Source organism: Homo sapiens, chromosome 20 (genome assembly GCF_000001405.40).
Source record: "Homo sapiens chromosome 20, GRCh38.p14 Primary Assembly".
Lineage (NCBI taxonomy): Eukaryota > Metazoa > Chordata > Mammalia > Primates > Hominidae > Homo > Homo sapiens.
Window position 1 is genome coordinate 46,289,071 of NC_000020.11, and position 25,649 is coordinate 46,314,719.

Consider the following 25,649-nt stretch of genomic DNA (forward strand, 5'->3'; position numbering starts at 1 on the left):
CCTCTATTTCAGCCACACTGGCCCTCTGGCTCTTCTCTGAATAGACCAGGTATGATCCCACCTTTGGGCCTTTGCACTTGCTGGTCCTCTTGCCTGGAACACCCTCGCCCCTGATGTCTGCCTGGCTCACTCTCTCCCTTCCTTCGAGGGTCTGCTCAAATGGCTGACCCCATGCACCTTTCCCTTACAACCTGTGATAAACTAGCTCCTCAGTTCCCCAGGCCATTCATATCCCCTCATCCTGCTTTCTTCACCTTCTCCATAACACTTATCACTATCTGATATATTATAAATGGATGCCTCCTTTCTCTATAATGTGAGTGCCATGATTTTAGGGGTGTTGTCTTTTTTGCTTGATGCTGTATTCCCAGCATTTAGAACAGCGCATGGCACATAATAGGTGCTCAGTGGATATTTCTTGAATGACTCGCATAGTTTTTATCTATCTGTCTTCCTGTTTGTCTGCTTGTCTGTCTCCCCCAGCAGACAGCGGGAAGCCACTGGATCCGATTCTCCACTGCTTTCCTGGTGTCCAACACAGAGTCTGCAGAGTGGGTGCTCATCAAATGTTTGAATAAACAAATGAATAATAATAGAATTTCCAGATGGATTGCCTGGGGCGATATGAGGGAGGGATTATGGCTAGACAGAGCTGCCTACTGGAAATTTTCCTGCCATTTCTGAAGGACCTGGGGTCACCTGGGAGGGGAGGAAGCTAGAAACATGAGCCAAGGAATCTCTAGAGGCCAGAAGGGATAGAGATTAAAATTTAGGAGCTGGTGATGGAAGGATCTGGAAGTGCAGGTTTCCAACTTGGCTTCATGTTTGAGGCTAACCTGTGGATTTAGAATTCTGTTGGAAGTTCAGGAAACTAAAGTTTTAGAACAGGCCAAGAGTTTAGGGTTAGGGTCTGAATTAAGGTTTGGAGTTTGGAAAACAGGTTGAAGCTTTGGATTTAAAGTTAATATTCAGAATTCTAGTTAGAGCTGAGTGTTTGGGAGCTGGGCCTAATGTTTGTGGTCAACTGGTTTTGAGAATGGGTCAAGAAATGAAAACTTTGGTGAGAAAACTGTACAAAGTTGAAGGTGGCATCAACTTGAGGGGCTCAACTTGAGGATATTTATTAGATTTTCAAAGCTTCTTTGCCAGGACACTATGAGACAGAAGCTCACAATATATAGTCAAGTTCTTGAACAGTTTTTCTCCACCAGGGGCAATTTTGCCACCCAGGGGACATTTAGCAATGACTAGAGATGTTTCTGGTTGTCACAACTGGGTGGGAGGGTGCTGCTGGCATCTAGTGGGTAGAGGCCAGGAATGCTGCTAAACATTCTACAATGCCCGGGACAGCCCTCCACGACAAAGAATTATCCAGCCCCAAATGTCAATAGAGCTGAGGTTGAGAAACCCAGCACTGGAGGATTTATTCATTCTCTGAAGGGTTAGCCAAGGCTAATCCAAGTGGGCCAGGAGTCAGGATATGAGTGTTTAGGGGGAGGGCTAGTGCGATGCGGGCCTGAGCTATAGAGTCAGGTGTGGGCACCCTTGTGTCCCCCTCCTCCTGGATGGAGCTGCTGACAGCTAACTCTGGCTCTGGCAGACTCTAAGGGAGAGGAAGGGGGTTAGGGTGGAGATGGGGAGGGAGAAGGAGGAGAGGGCCAGCCCAATGTGTCAGGGAATTCACGAAGCTAGAGACAAGCAGGGTGGGAGCTGGTGAAAGAGAGAGAGAGAGTAATAGTTTTGCAGAGTTGCAGAGAGCCCAAGCAGGGTCTATGGGGGGTGTGTTTGGAAGGAAGGCTGGGGGTGTGGCATGGATAGTCAGAGAGCTGCAGAGAGAGTTGGCATCTGGAGGGCCTGGTGTCCAATGCACCCTCTGCAACTTATGTGACTGCCTTGTTCAAGACAGAATTCAAATAATAACAGCTGGCTGGGCATGGTGGCTCACTCCTGTAATCCCAGCACTGTGGGAAGAGAGGCAGGTGGATCACCTGAGGTCAGGAGTTCGAGACCAGCCTGGCCAACATGGCGAAACCCTGTCTCTACTAAAAATACAAAAATTAGCTGGATGTGGTGGCATGTGCCTGTAATCCCAGCTACTCAGGAGGCTGAGGTAGGGGAATCACTTGAACCTGGGAGGCAGAGGTTGCAGTGAGCAGAGATCGCGCCACTGCACTCCAGCCTGGGAGACAGAGCGAGATTCCATCTCAAAAATAAATAAATAAATAAATAAAACAAAAAACAAACAAAACCAAATAATAATAGCTAACACTTGCATCGCACTTACTCTGTGTCGCTCTAAATGCTTTACATCTGTTAACTCATTTTTAATCCTCCATTGAGCCTGTGTGATGGGTACTACCATAATCCCCGTTTTACAGATTGGAAATGGAGGCAAAGGGGTCAGGTAAGTTGCATAAGATCCCATAGCCCTGAGCGGCCCTGCTGGCTCCAGAGCTGGCTCCAGGCTTCTGTTTTCCATTTGCTTCCTCTGCCGTCGACATTCATGATCTCATCACACCCTCTCAATAGTCTCCCGAGATAGGTGCTCTTGTTACGGCCCCTGCTGCACTGATGAAGTAACCAAGGCACAGAGAGGTGAACGACCTCTCAACACAGCCAGGTCTGCCTGACAGCAAGGCCACTTCTGCTCCTCTGCGTTGCAGCCTGGGGTGCACCTCTGCACAGCCCCATGTGCCCACTCTTGTGGCCATATCTGATCTTCACAAATGGCCTCAGACTTCAGGGTTTCTCAGCCTCAGCAGCAGTGACATTTTGGCTGGATAACCCTTTGTTGGTGGGGGCTGTCCTGTGCAGGGTAGGATGGCTGGCCGTATTCTTGGCCTCTACCCATTGAATACCAGTAGCACTCTTTATTCCCAGTTGTGACAACCAAAATTGTCCTCTAGACAATGCCAAATGTTCCCTGGAGGCCAAAATCAACTGCTCTCCCACCCCAATGGAGAATGACTGCTCCAGACAGTAGGCAAAGGAGGATCCTCCTATGACATAGTGGATCATGGAAGAAAGGACCAGAGAGGGTCACACCTTACCCAAGGTCACTCAGAGAGTTGGTGGTAGGACTTAGGTCTCTCCAGCCAACAGGAAGGCATGCCTGCTGAGCTTTCCCACTGGAGGCTCCCTCCCCCAGGGTGAGTGTTGAGTGCCAACGATATGGCAGGAGCTGGCTGCCTGTCCCAATAAATGCAAAGGTCCCATGAGCAGCCCGTCCTTTTCAGAGCCCTCTGCTCTCCAGCTGAGCTGAGGTGGGGTTCGCTCTGCTCCTAGCTGTGGCACTAGGAAAACAGCTGTGGCTTTGATGTCAAACAGACCAGATTTCAAATCCTAGCTCTGCCACACCCATACTGTGGGACTCCAGGCACAGCACTGAACATCTCTCACCCTCTGTTTCCCCATCTGAAAAATGGGCAGTTTGGATTAGAGAATCGCAAACGCCCAACTAACTCTGATGTTCTGATTTTCTGACAAATTAGGGTATCCGGTGTCTTAGTCCTGGCTGTGCCTGCAACTCAAAGTGGCATCTTGGGCAAGTCACTGCCCCTCTCCAGAACCCACTCTCCTCAATCTGCCATTCACCTTCAAGCAGCCAACACTCCAGTCACACAGAACTTCTCATTGTGATCTAAACCGTGAATTCTTCCCTGCGTTGGTTCATGCTGCCCCTCTGAAATGCTCTCCTGCCCATTATCCACCTGGAGAACTATTCATCTTTTTAAGACTGAGCCCAAGTCATTTGCTCCAGGGGGTCTTTCTGATTCCTGCAGGCAGAGTTAATCACTCCCTCTTTTGTTCTGTTCTGGTGCTTCTAGAAGAGCACCAGCCACTGGTTGTGTGTGTGTGTGTGTGTGTGTGTGTGTGTGTGTATGTGTGTCTTCCCCACTAGACTGAAAGAGTCCTTGCAGACAGATCCTGGGTCTTCCTAATCCTAATGTTTTTGTGGTCCACACAGTGCCTGGCACAGAGTAGATGCTCAGTATATGTTGAGTAAGTAAGAATGAATGAATTGGGGGAGGAGACTGCCAAGACCCCTTAGTGGTTACAACCCTCTAGAATCCAGGGAAGGAGGCCAACCTCTTGCTGTCATCTGGTCTGAAGACTGCCCCCATCCCCAGTCCTAGCAATGGCCTGTTGCCTCAGCCACCCACACATTCTGTGGACTCAGAGAGTACCTTGGACAGCAACCAGACACTTTATAAAAAATGCTTTTATCCTCCATGAAGCTGCCGCTACAGGGAGCTGTCTGTGCTGACCTGCATCTCCGTGTGTGCATGGAGACATGTGCTTGTAGAAGAGGCCTTGCTTCTTCCATTTTTCAATCCATCCCAGGCCTTTCTGAGGATCAGGCAGGGAACCTATGTTTTTCATGTTTATGTTTCTGAATGTGCAGTCTCCGACCCAAGATAGGGGTGGCTGGGGGTAGGGGGAGAACTTTGGAATTCCCTCCCTCTAATAGTCGTTTGAGGAATCCACTCTTCCTCTGAGCCACATGTCCCCAAATTGTCCACAACCCTATTCCACGAAGTCCTCTGACTAAAGAAACCAGATCTCAGTTCCTGGTTTTGGGGGTGGGGAGGAGAGAGGTGGTCTGTGTTCTTTGAGATCCATCCATTCAACAGGTATTTTCTGAGAAGCTATAAAAACACAGAGGCCAGGTGCGGTGGCTCATGCCTGTAATCCCAGCACTTTCGAAGGCCAAGGCGGGCGTATCACGAGGTCAGGAGTTTGAGACCAGCCTGGCCAACATGGTGAAACCCCATCTCTACTAAAATACAAAAAATTAGCCAGCCATGGTGGCTCATGCCTGTAATCCCAGCTACTCAGGAGGCTGAGGCAGGAGAATTGCTTGAACCTGGGAGGCGGAGGTTGCAGTGAGCCGAGACTGCACCACTGCACTCCAGCCTGGGCGACAGAGCGAGGCTCCATCTCAAAACAAAAAAACACTTATATTATGTTTAACTTATTGGAGTCTCAGTTTCTTCACTTGTAAAATGGGGGTAGGGGTAGGTAGATATGCCTGCAAGACCAAATCCTTAAAAGGGGGCAGCTTTATGGTTTATGCATTGATCCTCAGTGCAACACATCAGCTTCAACCTTCACCTAAAAGCAGGACTGGATGTCCTCATTCAGCTGCGTCCTTCCTGTGGAGCCCTAGTTAAGCCCCTTCCCTTCCTTGAGTCTCTGGTTGCAAACGAAGTGGGTTCTGTTCTCTAAGTTCTGGTTCAGCTGTGGGGTCCTGAGTTTCTAGGATTCTATAATGATGCTGAGGAGCCATGCAACCTCCTCTTTCTTCCTCCTGCCCCAAGGAAGGGGCTGGGGCCTCAGACAGGAGATGGGGACACACCAGAGCTTCCCAGGGGTGGTAGGAGGGTGCGGAAAGAGGAAGATCTGTCCTAGCTGGGGTGTGAGAGACAAGTTAACAGCTCAATTGTTATTTCAATTACACGGATTATTTGAAAACAATGTTTATGAGTTTCATCACTGACAACCCCGGGAAATGGCTGCTATGGCAACCAGGGAAAAGAATGGCCCTGACCAGCCAATCAGAAGTTCCAACTGTGCCCCAGTTTGTACAAACTCTCCCTTCTCCACAGGGCTCCCCCCAACCTCTGCTGGGGTGGGTAGGTGGGGGCTTGGGAGAAAGAGGGAAAGAAAGGGGCAAGGAAAAGGCTACTCTGTAGAAGGGAAGAGGACAACTGAAAAAACTGAGGCACTAGGAGAAGTGGGATTCCTGGCATTGGCTGTTCATCCCAAATTCTTCAAGGGCAAGAACATATCTGACCCACTGCACCTTCCCGGTGCCCAGCACAGGCCTGGCACCCGGCAGACAGTAACAGGGCTTGTTCCAGAGCTGCCTGTGGCTGAGGAGGGGTTTCTTCTTCACACCCTTCATTCTCTGCTCACTGTCTGGAGGGAGAGAATTCTCCGAGACCTCTTCCACGAAGGGCACACACAATTGGCCTTGTCTTTCACTGCCAGGAAGAGAACAGGCATGCGAGGAGCCTCTCACTGGCAGGTGAGATCTGTGAGGTTCTGGGGTGTCTCTGAGAGCCCTGGATGTCTTTCCCTGCTGCCCTCTGCAGAGGCCGCCTCTCCATGCAACGTCCTTTGGCCCAGACTTCTCCAAATGAGGCACCCCAGTGGTCTCCAGAAAAAATGTTTTTGCTTTGAGAATATCCTGTGCTCTCCCTATTCAGAAAGAGGCCAACTTGACAGGAAGCTGGCTGGACTCTAGCTCTGCAGAACTCCCTCCTGAAAGCCCATTTGCTACCCAGCCTGAGCTCTCCGCTGTCCACTCCTGTGTTCCCGAATCCCTCATCACATTTACTTTTAAAGAAACCCTTACATAGGGCTTATGAATGCTAGGCACTGTTCTAAGTACTTTACAAACATTAGCTTGTTTCATTCTCACCACAAGCCTGTAACGCAGCTACTGTGATTATCATCTCCACTTTACAGATGGGGAAACTGAGGTGGTTAAGTAACTTGTGTAAGGACAGGCAGCTAGGAAGGGGGGCAGCTCAGGGAGCAGAACCCAGGAAGTCCAGCTTCCAAAATCCAAGTCCAGCTTCCAGAATCCAAGCTCTGGGCTGCCATCCTCATTCCTCCTGATAGGTGATGATCCAGCTTAAGTCTTGCCTGATAGTCAAAAGACTCAAAAATTCAACTTTTGTTGCCTCATCTATTTATTTGTAGAGGCAGGGTCTCGCTCTGTCACCCAGGCTGGAGTGCAGTGGCATGATCATAGCTCACCACAGCTTCAAACTCCAGGGCTCAAGCGATCCTCCTATCTCAGCCTCTGAAGTAACTGGGATTACAGTCGTGTGCTGCCACTCTTGGCTAATTTTTTAATTTTTGTAGAGATGGGGGTCTTGCTATGTTGCCCAGGCTTGTCTGAAACTCCTGGCCTCAAGTGATCCTCCTGCCTCGGCCTCTCAAAGTGCTGGGATCACAGGTGGGAACCACCATGCCGGGCCTGTTGCCTCATCTTTTTATATCAGGAGCCTCCCAGGTGCTTGTCCTGAAACTCCTGGGCCCTCTTTTTGTATCTTCGCAGTAGGGGAGTGGCAGACAGATATAAGAGAAGAGGCACCTGAGGATGTTACCAATAAGTGGACGTCTGTAGATCAGTGCTGGTTCTCACAGCCCGAAGTCCTGATCTGGCTGTAAGGCAGGGAGGGGCATCTTCATTAATTTGGTACCCACTGTGAGGACACTATTTGCTCATTATCTCGTTCATTCCAGCAAGGGAGGTCTTACACTCCTCATTTTACAGATGAGTAAACAGAGGCTCAGAAAGTCAAACACTTGCCCAAGGCCATCCAGCTAAAATGTATCCAACAGGGATTGGTGCCCAGATCTGCCTGTCTCTGACTGCCATTAGCAAAAGACATTATTCCTGTCCTCAATGGACCAGTTAGAGAGGCAAGACAGGTAACAATGGTTCGCAAAGGGCTGAAACAGGGCACTGAGATTGAATAGATGTGAGGGCTCAGCCCAGGTGAGCAAAGGTTTGCAGGTGGGAATGGGCCCTGGAGCAATGGCCTAGCGGGTATGTGTCTGAGCTCATCAGGTGACCATGTCAGATGATGAGTTGGGGCTTTGAACGCCAAGCAGATGGTTTGGCGCTGACAGGCAAGGCCACAGGGAGCCACTGCTGTCTTAGGAGCCTCTTTCCCTCCCTCCTGAGGCAGCCTCCCTCTCGCACAGCAGAGCAATTTCCCAAAGCATTTTCTCTAATTTGTGATTGTTTTTCTAACCAGAAGCAGCAAGAGTCTCCAGCTTCTCCCAGCCCGTAAGACGAGCCTGATGGAGCTGCCAAAGCTGCAGGTCTCCACCCCCAGCCCAGCCCACTTGGGGACTTACAAGTCCCTCTGTCCTAAAAGCCCACCCATGGTACTAGGCAGGCTGCGGGGAGGGTCTTATGGTCCCAAATCCAGGGGCTTCTTTCCCAGCCTGAAGCTGGCTGAGTTGATGCAGAGACCTGGGAGTGACTTTAAGCTGGGGCCACCCACTGCTGGCTGATTGTGCCCCGCGGACATCAAGGGCTGGTACCCTGGGACAGAGGGTGGCATGAGGGCTCGAAGCCAGGGGCTGCTCAAGGGCTCCAGGAGGGGCAGGGGCTGAGTGAGGAGGTCAGGGCTCTGTGAGTAGGGATGCGGGCTCCTTGAGGGAATGCAGGCTCAGAGAGGAGATGAGTCTTCAGTTCAGGGGACAGAAATTCTGTGGGAGAACAGGGGCTCTGGAAGGGGCAGGCATTCCAGAAGGTGACCAGGAGCTAAGTAACAGGAGGTGCTCAGGGATGGAACGGGGGCTCAGGGATGGGATGGGTCTCCAGGAAGGGTGGGGGGCTCCGTGGAGGGTTAGAGCTTTCACAGGGGGTGCAGGAGCTCTGTGGAGATTCTGGGGAATTGGGGGCTCTATCTTGAGAGAGGACCAGGCCTCCACAAGGAGATGGGGACTCCAAGAAGAGACGGGCGCTCTGTGGGAGGTGGGGATCTGGCCAGGGGCTCAGCTGCAGGGCTGGGGTTTGTGAGCACAAAGGCTCAGAAAAGAGAGTGCGGGCTCAGTGAGGGGATGGGGGCTAACATGCTGGGGACAGGGGTTCTGGGAGGGGCTCGGGGCTTTCCAAGAGGATGAGGGCTTGGAGAGAAATGGTGGCTTATGAAGGGACAGTGGCAGTGAGACAGTGGGAAGGCCCTTCCTCCAAGGTTGTTTTGGGGATTAAATGCAGCCATCTCCTCCCTGACCCACTACCCAGGTGCCCTACCTCAGCTGACCCATCCTAGCCACAGGCTTGTCTCCTTGGCTTACACAGCCCTGTGCCCCTGATGGTCCCCTCACCTTCGTCCTCTGCTCCACCACTCCCCCTACCCACCTCTTCTCAAGGCAAGATCCCGACGCCCCCTCTACTAACTCCTCCACAAATGTCCCACTCTGCACCCATTTCCTCAAAGTCACCTCTATAGATGATATCCCCCTACAGCCCAAATGCATTATCAGATCGGTACTTCAGACACCTGTAATGATCAATAAGGTTGTCCTCCCTCACAGCCAACCTCAATCTGTCTAGCTGCAAGTGCAGCCAATTTCTTCTGTTCTGTCCTGGAAATAGAAAAAAAAAGGCTCATCTACAGGCCACTGTTCATTCCATTCTTCTTCACTTTGGATACATAAAGTCTCCTCTCAAACTTCTCTCTTCTAGGTAAAATCATTCTGGTTCTTTTCCTTGGCTTTTCTAATCATTATCTTTAGTATCAGGTATCTTCAAATGCTGTGTTAAGGTTTTATCAGAGCCTGGCACATAGTAGGCTCACAAGAAATGTATCTTGGATGGATGGAGAAGTTGGTAGATTCTGAGGGTGAATGAGGGTGGAGAGACAGGTAGTAAGAAGACGGAAAGAAAGGTGGTGATACACGTGTAGGTAAATAACGGGTTGGTGGATAGATGGGTGGAGGTGGGTGAGGGGTGAACTGCAGGCAGATGGATGTTTAAATGGAGGTGGGTGGGCTGGAGGATGATGGATTGGATAAATGGATGGATTGATGAATGGGTGGATGGATGGATGGATGGATGGGTGGGTGGATGGATGAGTGGATGGATGGCTGGCTTAGATGGGATGCTGGCTGGATGAATAATCTCAGCTGGCATCTCAATTTTCCCCTGCCTCTCCCAAGCATAGGCTCCCCTAATTTGGTTAATGGACCCCAGTTCTCCCAGACACCAGGCCTGAGACTTTGTCATATTTCATTCCACCCTCTCCCTTATCTCCCACAACCAAGCAGCTCTGAGTCCTGTTGATCCTATTTCCTTGGGGCCTTTCTCCCTGGCCCCTGTTCTCTACAACTTCATTAAGCCCCCACCCCACTTATCTCCTGGACAATTTCAGCTGTCCCCGTCTGTTGCCTCCTTTCTCTTTCCTTCAAGTCCATCCTAAAACACTGTCAACAGCAAGATCTTTCTACAGCTTAATTCCAGCCAGCAACCTTCAATAGCTTCCTACTGCTTACATTCCTCAGCCTGGAGCTCCACGCATCTGAATTCAGCTGCACCTTCCCTTTCTGGTCCTCTCTGTCTTTCCTCCCCTCCATGTCCTCTGTGCCCTGGTCAACGGGGCAACCAGCTGACACCGAAGCCTTTGCCAAGCTCCTCCTCTTTGCTCATGCTCTTTCCACCTGCAGAAAACACCTCCACCTGCAGCAGCGTCATCCTAGCTTCAACACACAGCTCAAATACTGCCTCCCCCACGAAGCCTCCCCCAGTGCCTTCGACCAGACAGAGTCAAGCGCATCACTTCCTCAAGAGCATTTATGGAGCACCTACTATGTGCCCAGCTGGCTAATAGGGTCCTGATGGTGGGAGGGCTAGGACACAGGAGAGACACAACCTTTGCCTTCCAAGGTACACAGCCTGCTCATGTAGTCACGTTTGTGTGAGCACGCAGGTGCGTACAAACATATACAGAATTCAAGGGAAAACAATAAGGGCACAGTGGCTCACGCCTGTGCGAGACTCCGTCTCAAAAAAAAATTAAAATAATAATAATAATAATAAGGGCAAAATAGCACAGTATTAGTAGCTAGGGCTCATAGAGCACTGAATATGGGCCTAAGTGCACTGTTCTAAGTGCTTTACTTCTAATAATTCATTTCGCCTTCTCAATAATCCTATGAGATAGGTACAGATGAGGAAACTGAGGCAGAAGTTCACTCAGCTAGTAAGTGGCAGGGCAAAGATGGGAACCCTGGTAGTCTGGCTCCTAGGCAGTTCTCTCAACAGCACACAGTAGGGTCATAAATAGCGCTGTTGGAGTGGGGTGGACAGAGAAAAGTCATGACAAGGCTCATTCTGACCTCCCAGCCCCCTCCCACTCTGCCAACTTAACTCCCTTCTCTTCAAGCCATTTGAATAAATGGACACTGAAATAGACTGAGCTAGGGGCAAAGGATTCAGTCTGCTCTGAGACACCATAGGGCCCTGGGCAAGTTCCAGCCTCTCCCTGGGCCTCAGTTTCCCTTCTGTATCAAGGACTTGGACTCGTCAGTCCCTAAAGGCCCTTTCAACTCCAAAATGCATAACCCTAAACACAGCCACTTGGATCCTAGAAGACGCAGGCCTTGGCAACCTCCTGGCCTGGGGGGTGGGCTGCCTCTCCCAGGAACTCTCTGTTGTCCCTGAATACACAATTTCAGCCTCTGGTCCCTGTGGGCCCCGCTGTGAGGCCACAGTCCTATGTCTGGTTACCTGAGTCTGTCTGGCTTGTCACCTACCCATCATCTTGTCTACCCACTGACCTGGATCCACCTGCTTCTGCTTCCCATCCATCAGCCTGCCCGGGCCCATCCACCTTATGTCCCCCGCCTGCCTGGTGCCTGTCACTCTGCCCATCACACACACAAGCGCGCGTGTGCGTGCGCGTGCACACACACATACACACACACTCCACCTCCCCAGCTCCCCTCCCCTACTCTGCAAGCACTACGGTGACAACAAAGAATATGGGGCGGGGCTTTCTGCTTTTTTGACTCGCAGAGGGGTCTGTGGTGTTAACATCTGGACCAACTTTCCAGAGGCCAAAACAGTTCTCTGCCATCCAGCATCCTTCCCTTCCCCAGGGACCCCCCAGTCCCCTCTTCGCTGGCCCCAAGGGGCTTCTACTTGAGGAATCTGGTGAGCGCCACACGACTCCTGCCAAAAACGTCCCAGTGGTCCCTGAAGAAATCATCGGACAAGAGCGTGAAGATGTGTGTACAAGGATGTTCATGGCAGAATTGTTTGTAATAGCGAAGGACTGGAAACAACCCAAATGTCCAACAGTGGGGGCTGGTTAAATGAATTATGGGCAGCCACACAATGGAGAACCATGCAGCTCTTGAAAAATGATGATGTAGATGTATATTTATCGAAATGGCAAGACATTCACAATATATTATAGGGTGAAAAAAAGCAGGTTACGGAGGCATATGTATAAAGCAAGATGCCATTTTTATTTTTTAAAAATCTATATATGTCAAGAAGGATATGCACTGAAATGGTAGCCAAGTGGTGGTAAAATTATGGCTAATTAAAAATGCTTTCATATATAAAAAGGTACATACATATATACATATATATAAATTTACACACACACACATACACACACACACAGAGAGAGAATCACTCTGTATTAAATACTTCATATGAGCCCCGTGCAGTGTTAAGCGCTTTGTCTGTATTACTTCATTTCTCCAGTCCTTGGAGGTAGGTTTTGTTACAACCATTTTCTAGATGAGGAAACAGAGGCTCACTCAGCTATTAAGTGGCAGAGCTGGAACTTCAACTCTGCTCTGTCTGGCTCCAGAGCCCATGCACCTAATCAGTAGGTTGTCATGTTTCTCATTTTCTCATTTTGTTTATCTGTAACTTGCCTATTAAAAAAATATATATATATATGTATATATATGGCTGGGTGCGGTGGCTCATGCCTGTAATCCCAGCACTTTGGGAGGCCAAGGAGGGTGGACCACCAGAGGTCAGGAGCTCGAGACCAGCCTGGCCAACACGGTGAAACTCTGTCTCTACTAAAAATACAAAAATTGGCCGGGTGTTGTGGTGGGCACCTGTAATCCCAGCTACTCGGGAGGCTGAGGGAGGAGAATTGCTTGAACCCGGGAGGCAGAAGTTGCAGTGAACCGAGATTGCGCCCTTGCACTCCAGCTTGGGCAACAAGAGTGAAACTCCGTCTCAAATATATATATAGTATATATATTATATCGACTTGAGTGATAAAGAAACAACAGAAGTTAATAAGACAACGAAAGAATGAGGCTGGTGAACTATACATGGCAATGTGCCCTCAACTTCTGGGCTCCTGGACAGGAGGTCCCCACCAGCGGGTGCATCCTTCTCTCCTCTCTAAGTGCCTGTGTATTAGCATGGTCCAGCTCTCTGGGGAGGGGCCAGGCAACCCTGGTCAGAGTTGGGCCTTAGTCTTGCAGACTTCAAGGCTGCATGGCCTCAGGCCCCCTCTCCTCACACCCAAATTTAATTCAGTGAATGGAGTGAGTGCAGCTTTGCACCATATGCCACGCTAGACCCTAGGGAGGAAAAAATGAAAAAGCCCAGTGCCTGCCTTCAAGATCTTCTCATACAGGGCTTGGTTTCTCAGCCTCCACACTATCAACAGTTTGAGCTACATGAGTCTTTGCAGTGGGGTGGGGGGGACTGTCTTGTGCGTTGTAGGCGGTTTGGCAGCATCCCTGGCCTCTACCCATCAGATGACAGCAGCAGCCTTCTACGCAGTAGTGACAGCCAAAAATGTCTCGAGACATTGCCAAGAGTCCTCTGGGGGGCAAAATTGCCCCCAGTTGAAAAACACTGATCTAATGTGCTGCAGATGACACAAGGCAGGCAGTGAGAAAAGAAAACTAAACTAATTGCTACAGAGGTTCAAAATATAGACAGGAGTCACGTGTGCCTGGCTGGGTCCAAGAAGGCTTCTGGGGATGAACCCCGTCCCCGAACCTTGAGAGCGCCTCAAGATTCTTTCCATTTTACAGACTCATCCTGGATGGTGAGCTCCTCCTTCCTCATGGCCTCAAAACTCTATTTCCAGCCCAGAACTCTCTGAGTGGGCCTAGATGTTTTTGCATGACTATCCATCCAGCATCCCCACTCATGTATCCCATTAGGATCTCACCCTCGACCTGTCCACAGCTGGTCCTCACCTCTTCTTGAAAGCCCTTCTCCTCTTCATTTCGCATCTTCACAACCCACACAGCCTCCCGAGCCAGGAATGGGAACTCCTTCTCTCCCCCATGCCCAGGCAGTTACTTAGCCCTGTCCATTCCACTCCCACAACCCTCACAAGTGAGTCCCCCTCCATGCCTCAGACCCAGACACCAGCAGCCCGGGACCTGGTCTTCCCCACCCAGCAGCAGGATGAGGCTTCTAATGGCGAATCTCCACGCGCCACTCCCCTGCTGAAAACCTGTGCGTGGCTCCCCGCTGCTCTCGGGATGAAGGCCAAGCTCCTTGTGTGGCTTTCAAGACCCACGGGACCTGGCTGCTGCCCACCTCGCTGGCCTGGTTTCCCATGACTCCCACTCCCTGAACCCCAACCTCTGTGTGTTCTCCTTCAGCCAACTGAAATCTCAGTTCCTCTGCTATTCTCCCTCCCCTTGGGGCCTTGGTACCCCTTGGCATGGAGGCTGCCTTCTCTGCTCTTATTCCTCCCTACCCTCCTTTATCCCATAGATAACTGCGAGACAGCCTGCAGGTGTGCCTCAACAGCACTTCCTCCTAGAAGCCTCTGCTGCCCCGCCCACTGGCTGTCACAGTTATGAGAATTGTTCATCTTCCTCCCTGGACCACCAGACTCCTGTCAGCTGGGATTCAGGCTGCTTGCTCACCATTGTGTCTCCACCATGCAGCACAATGCTTAACACATAGTAATGCTTTATATGTAAATATATGTAAATGCTTTATATGTAAATATATATATATACATTTTAAACTGGATAATGAATGTATGGTCAGACAGGCAGATGGGTGATGCAAGGAAGAGGTGCTATTTGGGTTGGGTCCTTAATGCTTTGGAATATCTTCGGGGAAGGTTGTTCAGGTGGAAGGGCAGGTGGGGCTGGATGCAGGAGTGTCAGATTGGAGGCACAGTGGGAGATAAAGGAGGATGCAGACGGATTACAAGGACCTTGAATGTCATAGTGCCGAGTCTGGACTTAATTCAGTAGGCAATGGGGAGCCATGGAAGGGTTTTAATCAAGCCAGTGACACGATCCCACCTGCGTTAGAGAACGATCGCTCTGGTTGCCGCAGGGGTTGCAGCGGGAGGGTATCAGAGGCTGGGAGACCAGGGAGGAGGCTGCCACAACAGGTTAGGCATGAACCAGTGAGGTCTGAGCTGGAGAAGGGATCGCGAGATGGATGAGAGGGGAGAAAAGGTAGAGATTAGGATGAAATGAATCTGTGGGACTCTAGAACATGTTCCCACACTGCCGGCTGCATGCAGGGACTCCACCTTCCTCAAGGCAAAGGAAGAAGGATCCTGAAGTCAGAGACGGATCCTGAAGTCAGAGACAGATCCTGGTGGTCCTAACTCAATTCCCCTCCTGCAGGGGTGCAGGCAGCTGAGATCATGTGCAAAACCAAACAAGGAGGAACTGCTGCATTTACCCCATGGGAACCAAGGAATATAAATGGAGGGATATGAGCAATAACAATACTGCTTTATGTATGGGGTGTCCTATGTGCCAGGCATTGTGCTCAGCACCATACATGCTCATGCACATTTGATCTTCACAACCCAATGAGACAGGTATTACATTTTCCTCCATTTCACAGAGGAAGAAACTAAGGCTCAGAGAGGTAAAGTAACTTGCCAGCAAGTCACAAACTCAGGCTGGTTGGACTCCAATGCCTACGCGCTTAATCATCTATTTATATTATGCACAGGAAAGAGCTGGTAACAAGTGGATGGCTGAAGGCTTGTGGGTCTGACGACAAAGCAAGAAGTTCCCAGCCTAATCCCAATGTGACAGCAGGAAGGAGCCTGCTGATGGGGCATGGAGGGAAATGTGGGGGAAGAAGGGAATTCCTCCAGGTTGCTGTACCTCATGTGTTTGAAATCAGACCCACATATTCGGAAAGGTGTGTGCCCATTGTAAGAGAGCTGAGCTAAGGAGTGAGTAGTGAATATATCCTTAACCCCCAGATGGGCCACCTTTGGAGTAATTAAAGAAAGGGATCCTTTTCTGGGGGTAAGCAGCCCCATAGGCCCATGGCTGGTAAGTATATGAAGCCTTTTTGCAAATTAGAGAAAGATGCCCCCTCCTCCAGGCAGGCACAGCCTGTCTTTGGGGCACCTGACTTGGAGAGTGGAGCTTAAAATAGATTTCAGTCCCCGCTCTCCTCCTGCATTAAATGCCCTTGGACAGTCAACAACCTGCCCAACTGCATATAACAGCCATGCCTCCAGCCTTCCTGTCCTGCACCTCTGTTTCCAAGCAGCCACTGTGTATCATCAACAATGAGAAAACGTCCCTCCTGCCAGATACACAGAGCTCAAATCACTCCACAGACAACTTTCTTGTTAGGCCTTGTCTCCTCCATGGGCGGAAAGACAGTCCTATCATGCCCACTGCCCTGATGAAAAGTTGAGGTCAGAGCCTGTCCTCGTGGTGAAATATCTAGGCTTTCTCTAGAGAGGCCAGAATCAAAACACAAGGTTGTAGGAAGGAGAGGCCTGAGTTGAGAGCTCCATCTTAAAGGTGCTTTGAGGAACCCGGGGTGGAGGGTGTGCCCACTCTTGCGGGGGGCATGAGGCTTTTCTCTCTGAGCCTGACCTGAGGCCTGGGTTTCCTCTCAGCCTGTTTCCCCACCTGGTCCCCAGCCCCTAGCACCCTTCCTGGCTCAGCTATGGGGAGGAATGAGGAAGTCCTTGGCCCCGGGGCCTCAGCCCAGACACCACCGTAGGGTCTTCTATTCCCTCACTCCCTCCCAGGCCATGCAGTGCCAGCTGCTACCCGTGTTATATAAACAGAAATCATTCACTCTCTCTCACTCTACCTGAGGCTGCATTTCAGATTGGAGCTTCCTGATGGAAGAAAAAGGGGAGGGGGAAGAACAGAGAGAGAGAGGAGAGGAAGTTTAATTGGCTGACTCTTATCGCCCATGTGGTAAATAAACTGGCTGCTCCGAACTTTGCCAACTCGGGAGGAGACGGGCCCTCCTGGGCTCCCTGCCTTAGCTATGGCCCGGCCCCCTGTCAGACAACTTCAGAATGCAGCGCTCCTGCAAAGCTCTCAGAAAGACCAGTGCCTGGGGAAGCAGCAGGGGCTTTGGGGGTTCCAACCTCTAGGTATGATTATTCCAGAGCACGACCAGAAACATCCAGAGATCACAGCCACCCTTTTGACAGAAAGGCTGTGACTCACCCGGAGGTCACAACACACTTTTAGGGGCCAAACTTTGTCCTCTGCTTCTGCTACTCGGCGTCTCTGCTAAAGGCATTCAACAGCTTTCCTCCGGCACTGGCCTGGGAGCACTGGGGGTCTAACTTGAACACCTCATGCTGAATTTAGAGCAAGTGTCTTCTTGTCCTGCCTGCAGCGTGAAGCCAAGAAACGGCTCTGTTTTGCCCCAGGCCTACCCAACACATAAGCAGCGTTGGTGAGGCCTGGATGTCAAGATGCCTGGGTTCCTATTCCGGCTCTGGGTATAGCTTACCATGTGACCTCGGGCTGCTGTTGCCAATCCTTGAAAATGGAAAAGAGGGCAGCCCAGGTGGTCTCCAATGTGCTGCTCACAGTTAGGAATAGGGAAAGGGGTTGTCTCCAGGGGTCCCCTGATGGGGCCACCCAAGAGGTACAGGTGCCCCTTAGCTGAGAGAGACCTGGCTGGCTTTATAAAGTACCTGCCCCCGAGGCACTGGCAGTGGTGGACCGGGAAGGGCACACAGACATCTCCAGGAAGCAGTGTTTAAATGTTGGCAATGCCCTTCCCTTCCAGGAGGAATGGAAGAGGAGTGTCCCAGACACTGGGACAAGGAGGGAAATAAGGGTGAAGTAGAGAAATGGCTGGGGCAGGGAACAGTTGAGTGCTACAGAAAAACTGAGGCAGACAGGATAGAAGATGGGTCGGGGTTGGGGGGGACGAGGAAATGGTCATTGGTGGGCAAAGACCAAAGGATGTCACTATGGGTGTAGAGGCCAAGTTTCAACAAGGGCTGTAGACTAGGGGCAACTGAGGGGGACGGAGTGGGCACTGATGGACACATATACGGGATACAAATGAAGGACAGAGAGTCGCGGTGGTTAGGGAGGAGCCTTTGGGCCCTAGGGCAGTGGTGATGCTGATATAGGGTATTGGCGCTGACCAGTGGGAGAAGAGGATGAGATCCTGAACCTGGGTGGAGAGGGAGAGAGAGCTGGCAACAGCCAAAGCCCTCAAATGAGCCGCTGCCTGTGCTGGGGGCACCTCGGCCAGCCCCAGAAACCTGGGGAGTGCTGGAATCAGCCCCACGGAAAAAGAAGCTGGCATGCGCAACCCTGGCGACGCCCGAAGGGTTTGGAGAGAAGAGGTTCCAAGGAGCGAGCACCTCGGAAGACCTGAGCAGCTTCAAACAGCAGCTTCTCTGCCCGCCACAAGGGGGTGCCCTGCACCTCGGGGAGACCTCGGGGGATCCTGGATCAGCCCTACCCTCTGCAGCCCCGCCTGGGACAGGGCCCGACGTTGCCAGAGAAGAGGCAGCGGGGAGGCGCGAGCGAGACGGGTCCACACTGTGCCCACCCAGGGCTGCCCGGCACCCCGCGCGCCCACGCAGTCCACTCTTCACAGTAAACGCCGCGGCCCCCGAGGGTTAGCCCTAAGTGGCGCTCTCTTTGGACGTTAGGCTGTCGGGGGCCCCGTCCTTCTTCCCCAGCGGGGACGGTGTCTCCGGAGTCGGGTCCTAAGGAAGAGAGCAGCGCTGGCTCTCGCTCACCGCCAGCCCGCCCGACGGCCATAGGGCAGGGGGGGTCGCGCCGGTGGGGCCGGCAGGGGTCCCTGTGGGCCGCCTCCCCGGCTCAGAGGGGACCAGAACCGTGCGTGTCGCCGCGGCTGGAGTCAGCCTCCGGGTGTCCCCGGACGCGGCACGACCTCGCACACACACACCGCGCGCACACGCTCGCGCCGTGCGGTATTTTCCCGGCCCCGGACCCCGCCTCTGGGAGGGGCCGGGGAGCCGAGCCCCGCTAGCAGGGTTGGGGGACCGGGAACGCCTGGGTCCCAGCCCTCGCGTCAGGGCTGTGCGCCACCTTCCCAGCCCCTTTTGGCGCGCCGGCTCGGCCCCTGGCGCTGCCACCCCTCGGCCCGCGGGGGTCCCGGAGGCTCCCGGGCGCGCGGCGGACGAGGTTGTGGGGACGGGTGGGAGCTGCGGGCTTCGGGCCGAGAGGCGGCTCGGCTCCGCGCCGGGGAAAGTTTGGACGTGGGAAACTCCCTCCCCGCCCTCCCGGCCGAGAGGAGGGGGCGCGCAGGGCCGGGCGCAGGCACCCCGGCTCCTCCTGCGGCTGGAGGCTCGCCCCCCGCGCCGCCTGCCCGGCCGCTCCCGCCGGCCAGGGGGCTCCCTCCCTGCCGGGCAGCCTCCCCTCGGCGGCGATCCGGCCGCTCCTCCCGCGGCACCCCGCGCTCTTACCTCGGGGAGCGGCCCGGGGCTCCCCCTAGTCCTGCCGCCTCGGGACGCTGCGTGGGGCGGGAGCCCCGGCGCGGGCAGCGGGCGAGTCCGGAGCCCCGCGGCCGCCCGCAGGAGCCGGAGGGAGAGCGGGAGCGAGAGGGGGAGCCGCGGCGGCGTGTGCGCGCGTGTGTGTGAGCGAGAGAGCGAGAGAGCGAGAGAGCGAGGGAGTGAGCGAGCGAGCGGGAGCGAGGGAGTGTGCGTGTCTGACTGGGGGGAAGTGTGCAAGGGACGGATCCCTTCCTTCCTCCCGCAGCCTCTGGTGGAGACTCGGAGAATGCAGGGCCCGCCGGGCAGGAGCCGCGCAGCGCCAAGCCGCAGGCGGCCGCCGGCCCGGACCCCCGCAGCCGGGGAACCCCAGCCCCCGCCCCCCGGATCGCGCCCCTCCTACACCAGGAGGGGACAGCCTTTCCCTCTCTCGGGCGGCCCAGTCCCAGGAAACCCCCCAGGGGACAGTGCCCCTCCCTCCTCCAACCCCAGATCCGCGCGAAGGGAGCGCCCCCAGGAGGGGGACCATCTACCTCCTCGCCTGGCAGCTCCCCAGGTGGCCGCAGTTTGAGACCAGAGCCTATTTCCCCACCTGATTTTACTGCGAATAGGGCTTCCCATTTCCGCCCCCTGACTACTGCGGGAGGCCGCCTTCAGAGGAGCAGGGGCGCAGGCCAGGGTAGGAGCAGGCTTCTCGAACAGTGGCCGCCCCGGCTTGCTGCCCAGAAAGGCACCTTGCACAGACCAGATCTGCCAGTTCAGAAACAGTCACTGTGCATTGAGGTGGACACCGACCAGGTGCCCAGGGCTGAGTCTCCAGGCAGGTGGGAGGTCGGGTGTCCCCGGGAGAGAAACTTGTGGGCTTTTCCTCTGGAGAGTCCCGCTGGACATCCTTGCAACCAACAAAGTAAGCAGGCAAAACAAGACACCTCCATCCTTAACTTGGTGCCACCTTGACCTGGAGAAGTCTCCCAATAAAATCTTCCCACTGCCCAGAAACTCCTTGCTGGTTGGGTTTTCCGTTCTTTTAAAAATCCGGCTGGTCTGCTCCCTGATGTTTTTTCCACCTGGCCCTGTTTCTTTCTCCTGGCTGCCTGGCTCTCCTTACTACTTCATCTCTCTGGGATGAGGCCTAATGGAGGAGACCCTCCCACCCCACTCCTGAGTTCCCAATATGAGGTCGTTGATGGTAGGATAGGACCAGTGACTCCCATAGACCCACCCTTTGTCTTGGGTTGTAGGTCCCCTTAGGAGTTGCCCGCCCCCCTATTCCCCATGGCTTCCAGATAGGTGAGTGAAGGATAACAGGAGACTGGACAGCTGCAGACCTCTGTCCCGCCAAGCTGCCAATGACCAGCCATTTAATCACCCACAAGCAGCTGCTGAAGTTCATGGCAAAGAGGGGGCAGGGCCCTCCAGGACCCCCAGCTCTACCTCGCCCCTATCCTTCTCTCCTCCTCGCCTCCTTCCCCAATTTCCATCTCCATCTCCACACCCTAGTCCGTCTTGCTGATGATTGGAATCACCTCTCCTGCTGGCTGCCCCTCTGGCCCCTCCTACTAAACTCCATCATTCATTTATTTATTTTGAGATGTATTCTCCACTGTGCCAGTCTGTTCCCTCCCCTACGTCCTTCTCTTGGTTTATTTCCCTTCATTGATCTCTTCCAGCCTTGCCTTTCTATCGCCTTCCTTTTCTCCATCTCTCTCTTCCCCTCTCCTCTCTATTCTTAGCCTCCACTCTTTCATGCTTTCAGAGACCAGAGGCCAGCCTTCCAGGTGCATCTCTTCACTTTTGGTTCTCTCCTCCCGCTCTGACTCACTTTTGCTGTTTGCTCCAGTTCCCATTCCTTCTTTGCCTCTTCCTCCAGGCTCTGGTGTGTGCTGTTCATCTCTGGAGTCAGACCTACTTAGTTGTCCACAGGTTGTTTTGGTCTGGGACACTGTTGCTGTCACATCTGCATGCACACAGTAGGTGCTCAATAAATGTTATTGAATGAACTGTTGTCACATCTTTCTCTTTTGCTCTGGTCTCTCTCTTCTCTCTCTTTTATTTTTATTTTTTTTTGAGATGGGGGTCTCACTATGTTGTCCAGGCTGGATTCCTGGACTCAGGTGATCATTCTGCCTCAGCCTCTCAAGTAACTGGGACACCAGGCATGTGCTGCTGCACCCAGCTCCCCATGACTCTTTATTAGACCCTCAGGTTTTCCTATCCCAATGTTTCCTATTTTCAGGCTCATTCTACCGTTATTTCCAATTCTTCCTTCCTTCAACAAACTTTCTCTGAGTGTCCACTCTGTTGTGAGCACTATGGCTAGGCTCTGAGAACACATTGAATGTTTATTGAGCACTTGCTGTGTGCCATAGTTCTGCTTTTAAGTCCTCACAATAATCAGATACTAGTATTAGCCCATTTTACAAATGAGGAAACTGAGACACGGTGTTGAAATAGCAAGATCATTCAGACGGCAAGTAGAGAGATCAGGTTGACGCATTGGGCCTGGGTCAGACCTCTCACTCTGGTCTGGGAGAAGGTAAGCTGGGACTCCTGCTGCAGTGTGGCAGGGGCAGCAAGAGGCAGTGTAGTGTGACAGAGGAAGAACTGGGCAGGCCTGGGCTCTGAGAGCAGTTCTGCCCCATGCAGACTGTGTGACACGTGGGCAAGCCACTTCCCCCAGCATTGATGTGAAGAGAAAATGAGATGATAGTAACAACAGTTAACATTTAGTGAACCTGTGCCATGTGTCAAGCCTTCTCCTAAATGTTTTACACAGATAATTTCCTTTTACTTTCAACAAATTTATAAATTCATAATGGGGAAACTGAGGCACAGTGCAACTATGAAACGTGCCCAAGGTCACACAATTAGTTTATGGCAGAGCTGGGATTCAAACCAAGGCAGGCTGGGGCCAAAGCCTGCACACTGAACTGTTGTGCAATATTGCCTCTGGGCAAATAAAATGCCAAGTGCTTTGTAGTTAGAGTTTGAACGTGTGCTTTTTTATATCGTGTGGTGAGTCTACAAATAAGAGAGACACCACTCCTCCAGGGATTGGGTAGGATGAGGAAGGACTTGGGGAGAGAGGCATGGCTAGGGAAGGATTCCAAGAGGAGGCGCTTGTGAGAATTCTCCTTCCCACTCCATCAGAAGGGCACACAGCCCTGTCTTGGCACAGGGGACATGTTTTCCCCTGGAGTAGTCATCTGGGTCCATGGGCATTTCTCTCTCTCTAGCCCAGGGTCACTCCACTTTGGCCCTATTGACATTTGGGCCAGATAATTCTTCGTCATTGGGCATGTCCCATGTAGGATGCTTAGTAGCATCCCCAGCTTCTACCCACTAGATGCCAGCAGCACACCCCCTCCCCAGTTGTGACAACTAAAAATGTGTCCTGACATTGCCAAATGTCTCCTGAAGGGCAAAGTCACCCCCAGTTGAGAGCCACTGCTCTAGTCTGAACGCCCTAACAGCAGGGTCTGCTCCAGGGAGCCTGCAGGTTTGAGCAGGGGTCAGTGAAGGGTGTGTGTGTGTGTGTGTGTGTGTGTGTGTGTGAGTGCATACACGCGTGTGTGTTGGGGATGGGGAGGCTGCTCTTAGCTCCAGGCTCTGCTATTCTCCCTGGCTCTTTTCCTCTTCTTCTCTACACTTCTCTGTCATCCCTTTATCTGTCTGTCGCCTTCTCATGCACTGTCCATCTGTCCTCGCTTCTCTGACTGCCTCCACTCCTGTCTCTGTCTCCTCCCCCTCAGTGTCTCTGGTCTCTCTGACTGTTTCTGAATGGGTGTCAGTCTCTTGCTACCTGCCCCTACATCTTCTCTAGCACCCTTCTCCCCTCCCCCCATCTGCTTATCTCCTAGCTGTGTCCCTGCGTCTGTCGTTCTCTTTCCGTTTCCCCCTCCCTCTGTCCTGTTCTCTCTGCCTCCATGTCTGTCTCCCTCTCTCTGTTTCTCTGTCTCTTCCCATCTCTGTTTCTTCGGGGCACCCAGTCTCCCTCTGTCTCCCTCTTGCCTGTCCTATTCTGGTTCTCTCTGTCCTCATCCCGCACTCTCAGTGCCCCGTTTCCCTTTCTCTCTTCTCCCCACACTTCCTTCTCCTCTTCCTCCTTCCCTCCTTCCTTCCCACTCCCCTCCTCCCGCTCCCTTCCTCTACTCTCCCCACTCTGTGCTTCCCCTCCCTTCCCTCCCTTCCTCCCCCTCCTCCCGCTTTGTCTGTGGGAGCTGGAAGTTAAAAGCTTTTCCGAACTTGTTCTCCAGTCGCTGTTCCCGGCGCCTTTCATCTCGCCAGCACATTTGTAAAACTGCGCAGACTGAAGGGCCGTGACATGAACAACCAAAGAAATGTCAGCGCGGGGACGGGGCCGCCAGCCCGCCGGGGGGCGTAGGGAGCAGCCGGGGCACACCCTAGCCCCTCCCCAGAGGGACCCGGGACCCGAACGAGGGCGCCCCACCTGGGACTCCGGGCGCTCTGCACCTCTGCGAGCCCGCTTTCTCCGCCGGGGCCGACGGGACCGCAGGGAGGGGGAGGGGACTACTTGGGGAGGGGACTCCATGGGAAGGGAACTTCGAGGGGACGGGGAGGCCGCCCTTGGCTGGGGGCGCCAGGACGGGGAGGGGCGAGCCTGCGGGAGCCACAGGCGCCGAGGCCGCTGCGCCCTTAAGCACCTCCACCTCATGGCGTTAATCCTCGCAGACCCCGCAGCCAGACTGCCTGGGTTCAAATCCCATCACCGCCACTTGCCAGCTGTGTCACCCTGGGCAAGTGACTTCACCTCTCCACATCTCAATTTCCTTATAGTAAAATAGAGATGGTGAAGATTGGATGAGCAAATCCTTGTAAGGCACTTAGAATAAGTGTTTGCTGTAATTAATAAGAAGAATAGCAGCAACAACTCACAAAACAGGGTTATCGTCCCCATGCTACCGCTGGGGAAACCAAGGTTTAAGGGGAGAAAGTGACTTGCTGGACGACTCAGACCAAGTCAGGGGACGAACAGGAATTTAAGGCCAGCTCCTTCCTCTCCTTTCCCCTCTTTTTCCTCAAGGAAGTGGGTGCAGGGATGGAACACAAGTTCTAGGAGCTTAAGAATTGAGTCTGTTTTGTTCACTGCACTATCCTCCGAATGCAGCATATAGTAGATGCTCAATAAATACTTGTTAAAGGTATGCATGAATGAATGAATGCAAATGCTGGAAAGGTGCCAAGGTTAGAAAATGGAAAGGCTACTTTGTCTGTGGTGGGCTGGGGTGGGGCCAGGTGGGAAAAACAGGAGCCCAGCACCTGCCAAGTTCCAAGCCTTGGGAACTTGGCACTCCATCCAGGGCCTAAGCACAACGGCAGCACTATGGACAGTGGCTATGGCCCAGGCCAGGATCCAGCTTTACACCGGAAGCTCTCCCGCAGCCTGGTGGGCCCGCCCTGCTTCTGGGCATGACATCTCAGCCCACATCCCAGCTCCCTAACCCCGCTCCTGTAACCTCTGTCTGGGGCTAGGTCCCAACCTTCTGTCTCCTACACACACTCTGTCTCTTCTCTCTCTCTCTCTTTGGACCCAGATCCAAAGCCAGTGGGAAAGACGCGCCTCCCTCCTTTCCCTCTCCCTACCTGTCAGCCCTAGACAGCTTCTGCAGCCCTGAGGCCTGACACTGCAGGTGGCTGCGTGGAGATGGGAATAAGAGTCCCCTGAGCTTCCCTGAAAGTCCCTAAAGACACAGCAGAGTACAGCAGAAACTGAGCACTTGGACCTTCCCTCTTGAGCCCCCTTCCCTGGGGTGGTGGGGTGAGACAGCCCTACCACACTCCCCACACACACTTCAAACACCGACTCTCCCTGAATTATTCACCTGCCTCTCCCCAGGGCTGCTGCAGAGCGCCCAGCCCAGGTGCTGAGGAGGAAAAAAGCAGAAAGGCCCATTAAATTTAAACACCGCTGAGGATTGTCAGATGTGAGGTTCTATTCCTGGCCTAGAGAAGAGCCGCCAGTGGGAAGGGAAAGGGGATCTGCAAGGGGATGAGGACGAGGGACCCACCCCGGGCCGAGTGACCTGCTGAGCACCAGGAGGGCTGGGGCCAACATGCCAGGGAACCCGGACCTTCCTTCACCTGAAGGTTCTCACCCATGAGGAAGTGGACTTTGCCGTACCATTTCATTCATGTTGTTCTGGCAAGAGAGGAGGACCCATCTAAGAATAGCTTCTCTGCAGCTACCTGAAAGCCCACCATTATGGCTTCAGCATGAGGAACAGGGCATTGCCTCTCCAGCTTCCTCTCCAGCTGTTTCCTTCTTGCACCTTATATTCTGGTAGTGCCAAACTCTTTTAGCTTTTATCCACTCTGAGCTTTTTTAATGTTGTCCCTGCCACCTGGAGCTCCCTCTCTTCCTCTGTTTTGCTGGAAAACTCCTATTTATCTTTTGAAATCCAGCTTAAGTATTAATCCAGC

General features: G+C 53.0%; 1 protein-coding gene across 5 annotated transcripts in view, besides 4 other annotated features; it reads right to left on the reverse strand.

Annotated features, from left to right (window-relative positions):
• The window catches only part of CDH22 (cadherin 22), a 134,760-nt gene extending 115,332 nt beyond the window's left edge, over nt 1–19,428 (reverse strand). For all 5 annotated transcript variants that reach the window (XM_024451966.2, XM_047440373.1, NM_021248.3 and 2 more), the window contains exon 1: nt 19,185–19,428. The gene's annotated coding sequence lies outside the window, so the exon portion shown is untranslated. The remainder of the gene's footprint in view (nt 1–19,184) is intronic.
• Nucleotides 10,869–11,369: an enhancer, noted in NCBI's record as "H3K4me1 hESC enhancer chr20:44928578-44929078 (GRCh37/hg19 assembly coordinates)". NCBI's record gives its function as "activates a minimal SCP1, AML or CMV promoter by ChIP-STARR-seq in naive and primed H9 embryonic stem cells {active_cell/tissue: H9 hESC(naive and primed)}" and the evidence as "EXISTENCE:reporter gene assay evidence [ECO:0000049][PMID:30033119]".
• Nucleotides 11,370–11,870: an enhancer, noted in NCBI's record as "H3K4me1 hESC enhancer chr20:44929079-44929579 (GRCh37/hg19 assembly coordinates)". NCBI's record gives its function as "activates a minimal SCP1, AML or CMV promoter by ChIP-STARR-seq in naive H9 embryonic stem cells {active_cell/tissue: H9 hESC(naive)}" and the evidence as "EXISTENCE:reporter gene assay evidence [ECO:0000049][PMID:30033119]".
• Nucleotides 14,319–14,537: a silencer, noted in NCBI's record as "fragment chr20:44932028-44932246 (GRCh37/hg19 assembly coordinates)". NCBI's record gives its function as "represses an EF-1alpha promoter that drives an FKBP-Casp9 reporter gene in an ReSE screen in K562 erythroleukemia cells {active_cell/tissue: K562}" and the evidence as "EXISTENCE:reporter gene assay evidence [ECO:0000049][PMID:32094911]".
• Nucleotides 24,145–25,093: an enhancer, noted in NCBI's record as "H3K4me1 hESC enhancer chr20:44941853-44942801 (GRCh37/hg19 assembly coordinates)". NCBI's record gives its function as "activates a minimal SCP1, AML or CMV promoter by ChIP-STARR-seq in naive H9 embryonic stem cells {active_cell/tissue: H9 hESC(naive)}" and the evidence as "EXISTENCE:reporter gene assay evidence [ECO:0000049][PMID:30033119]".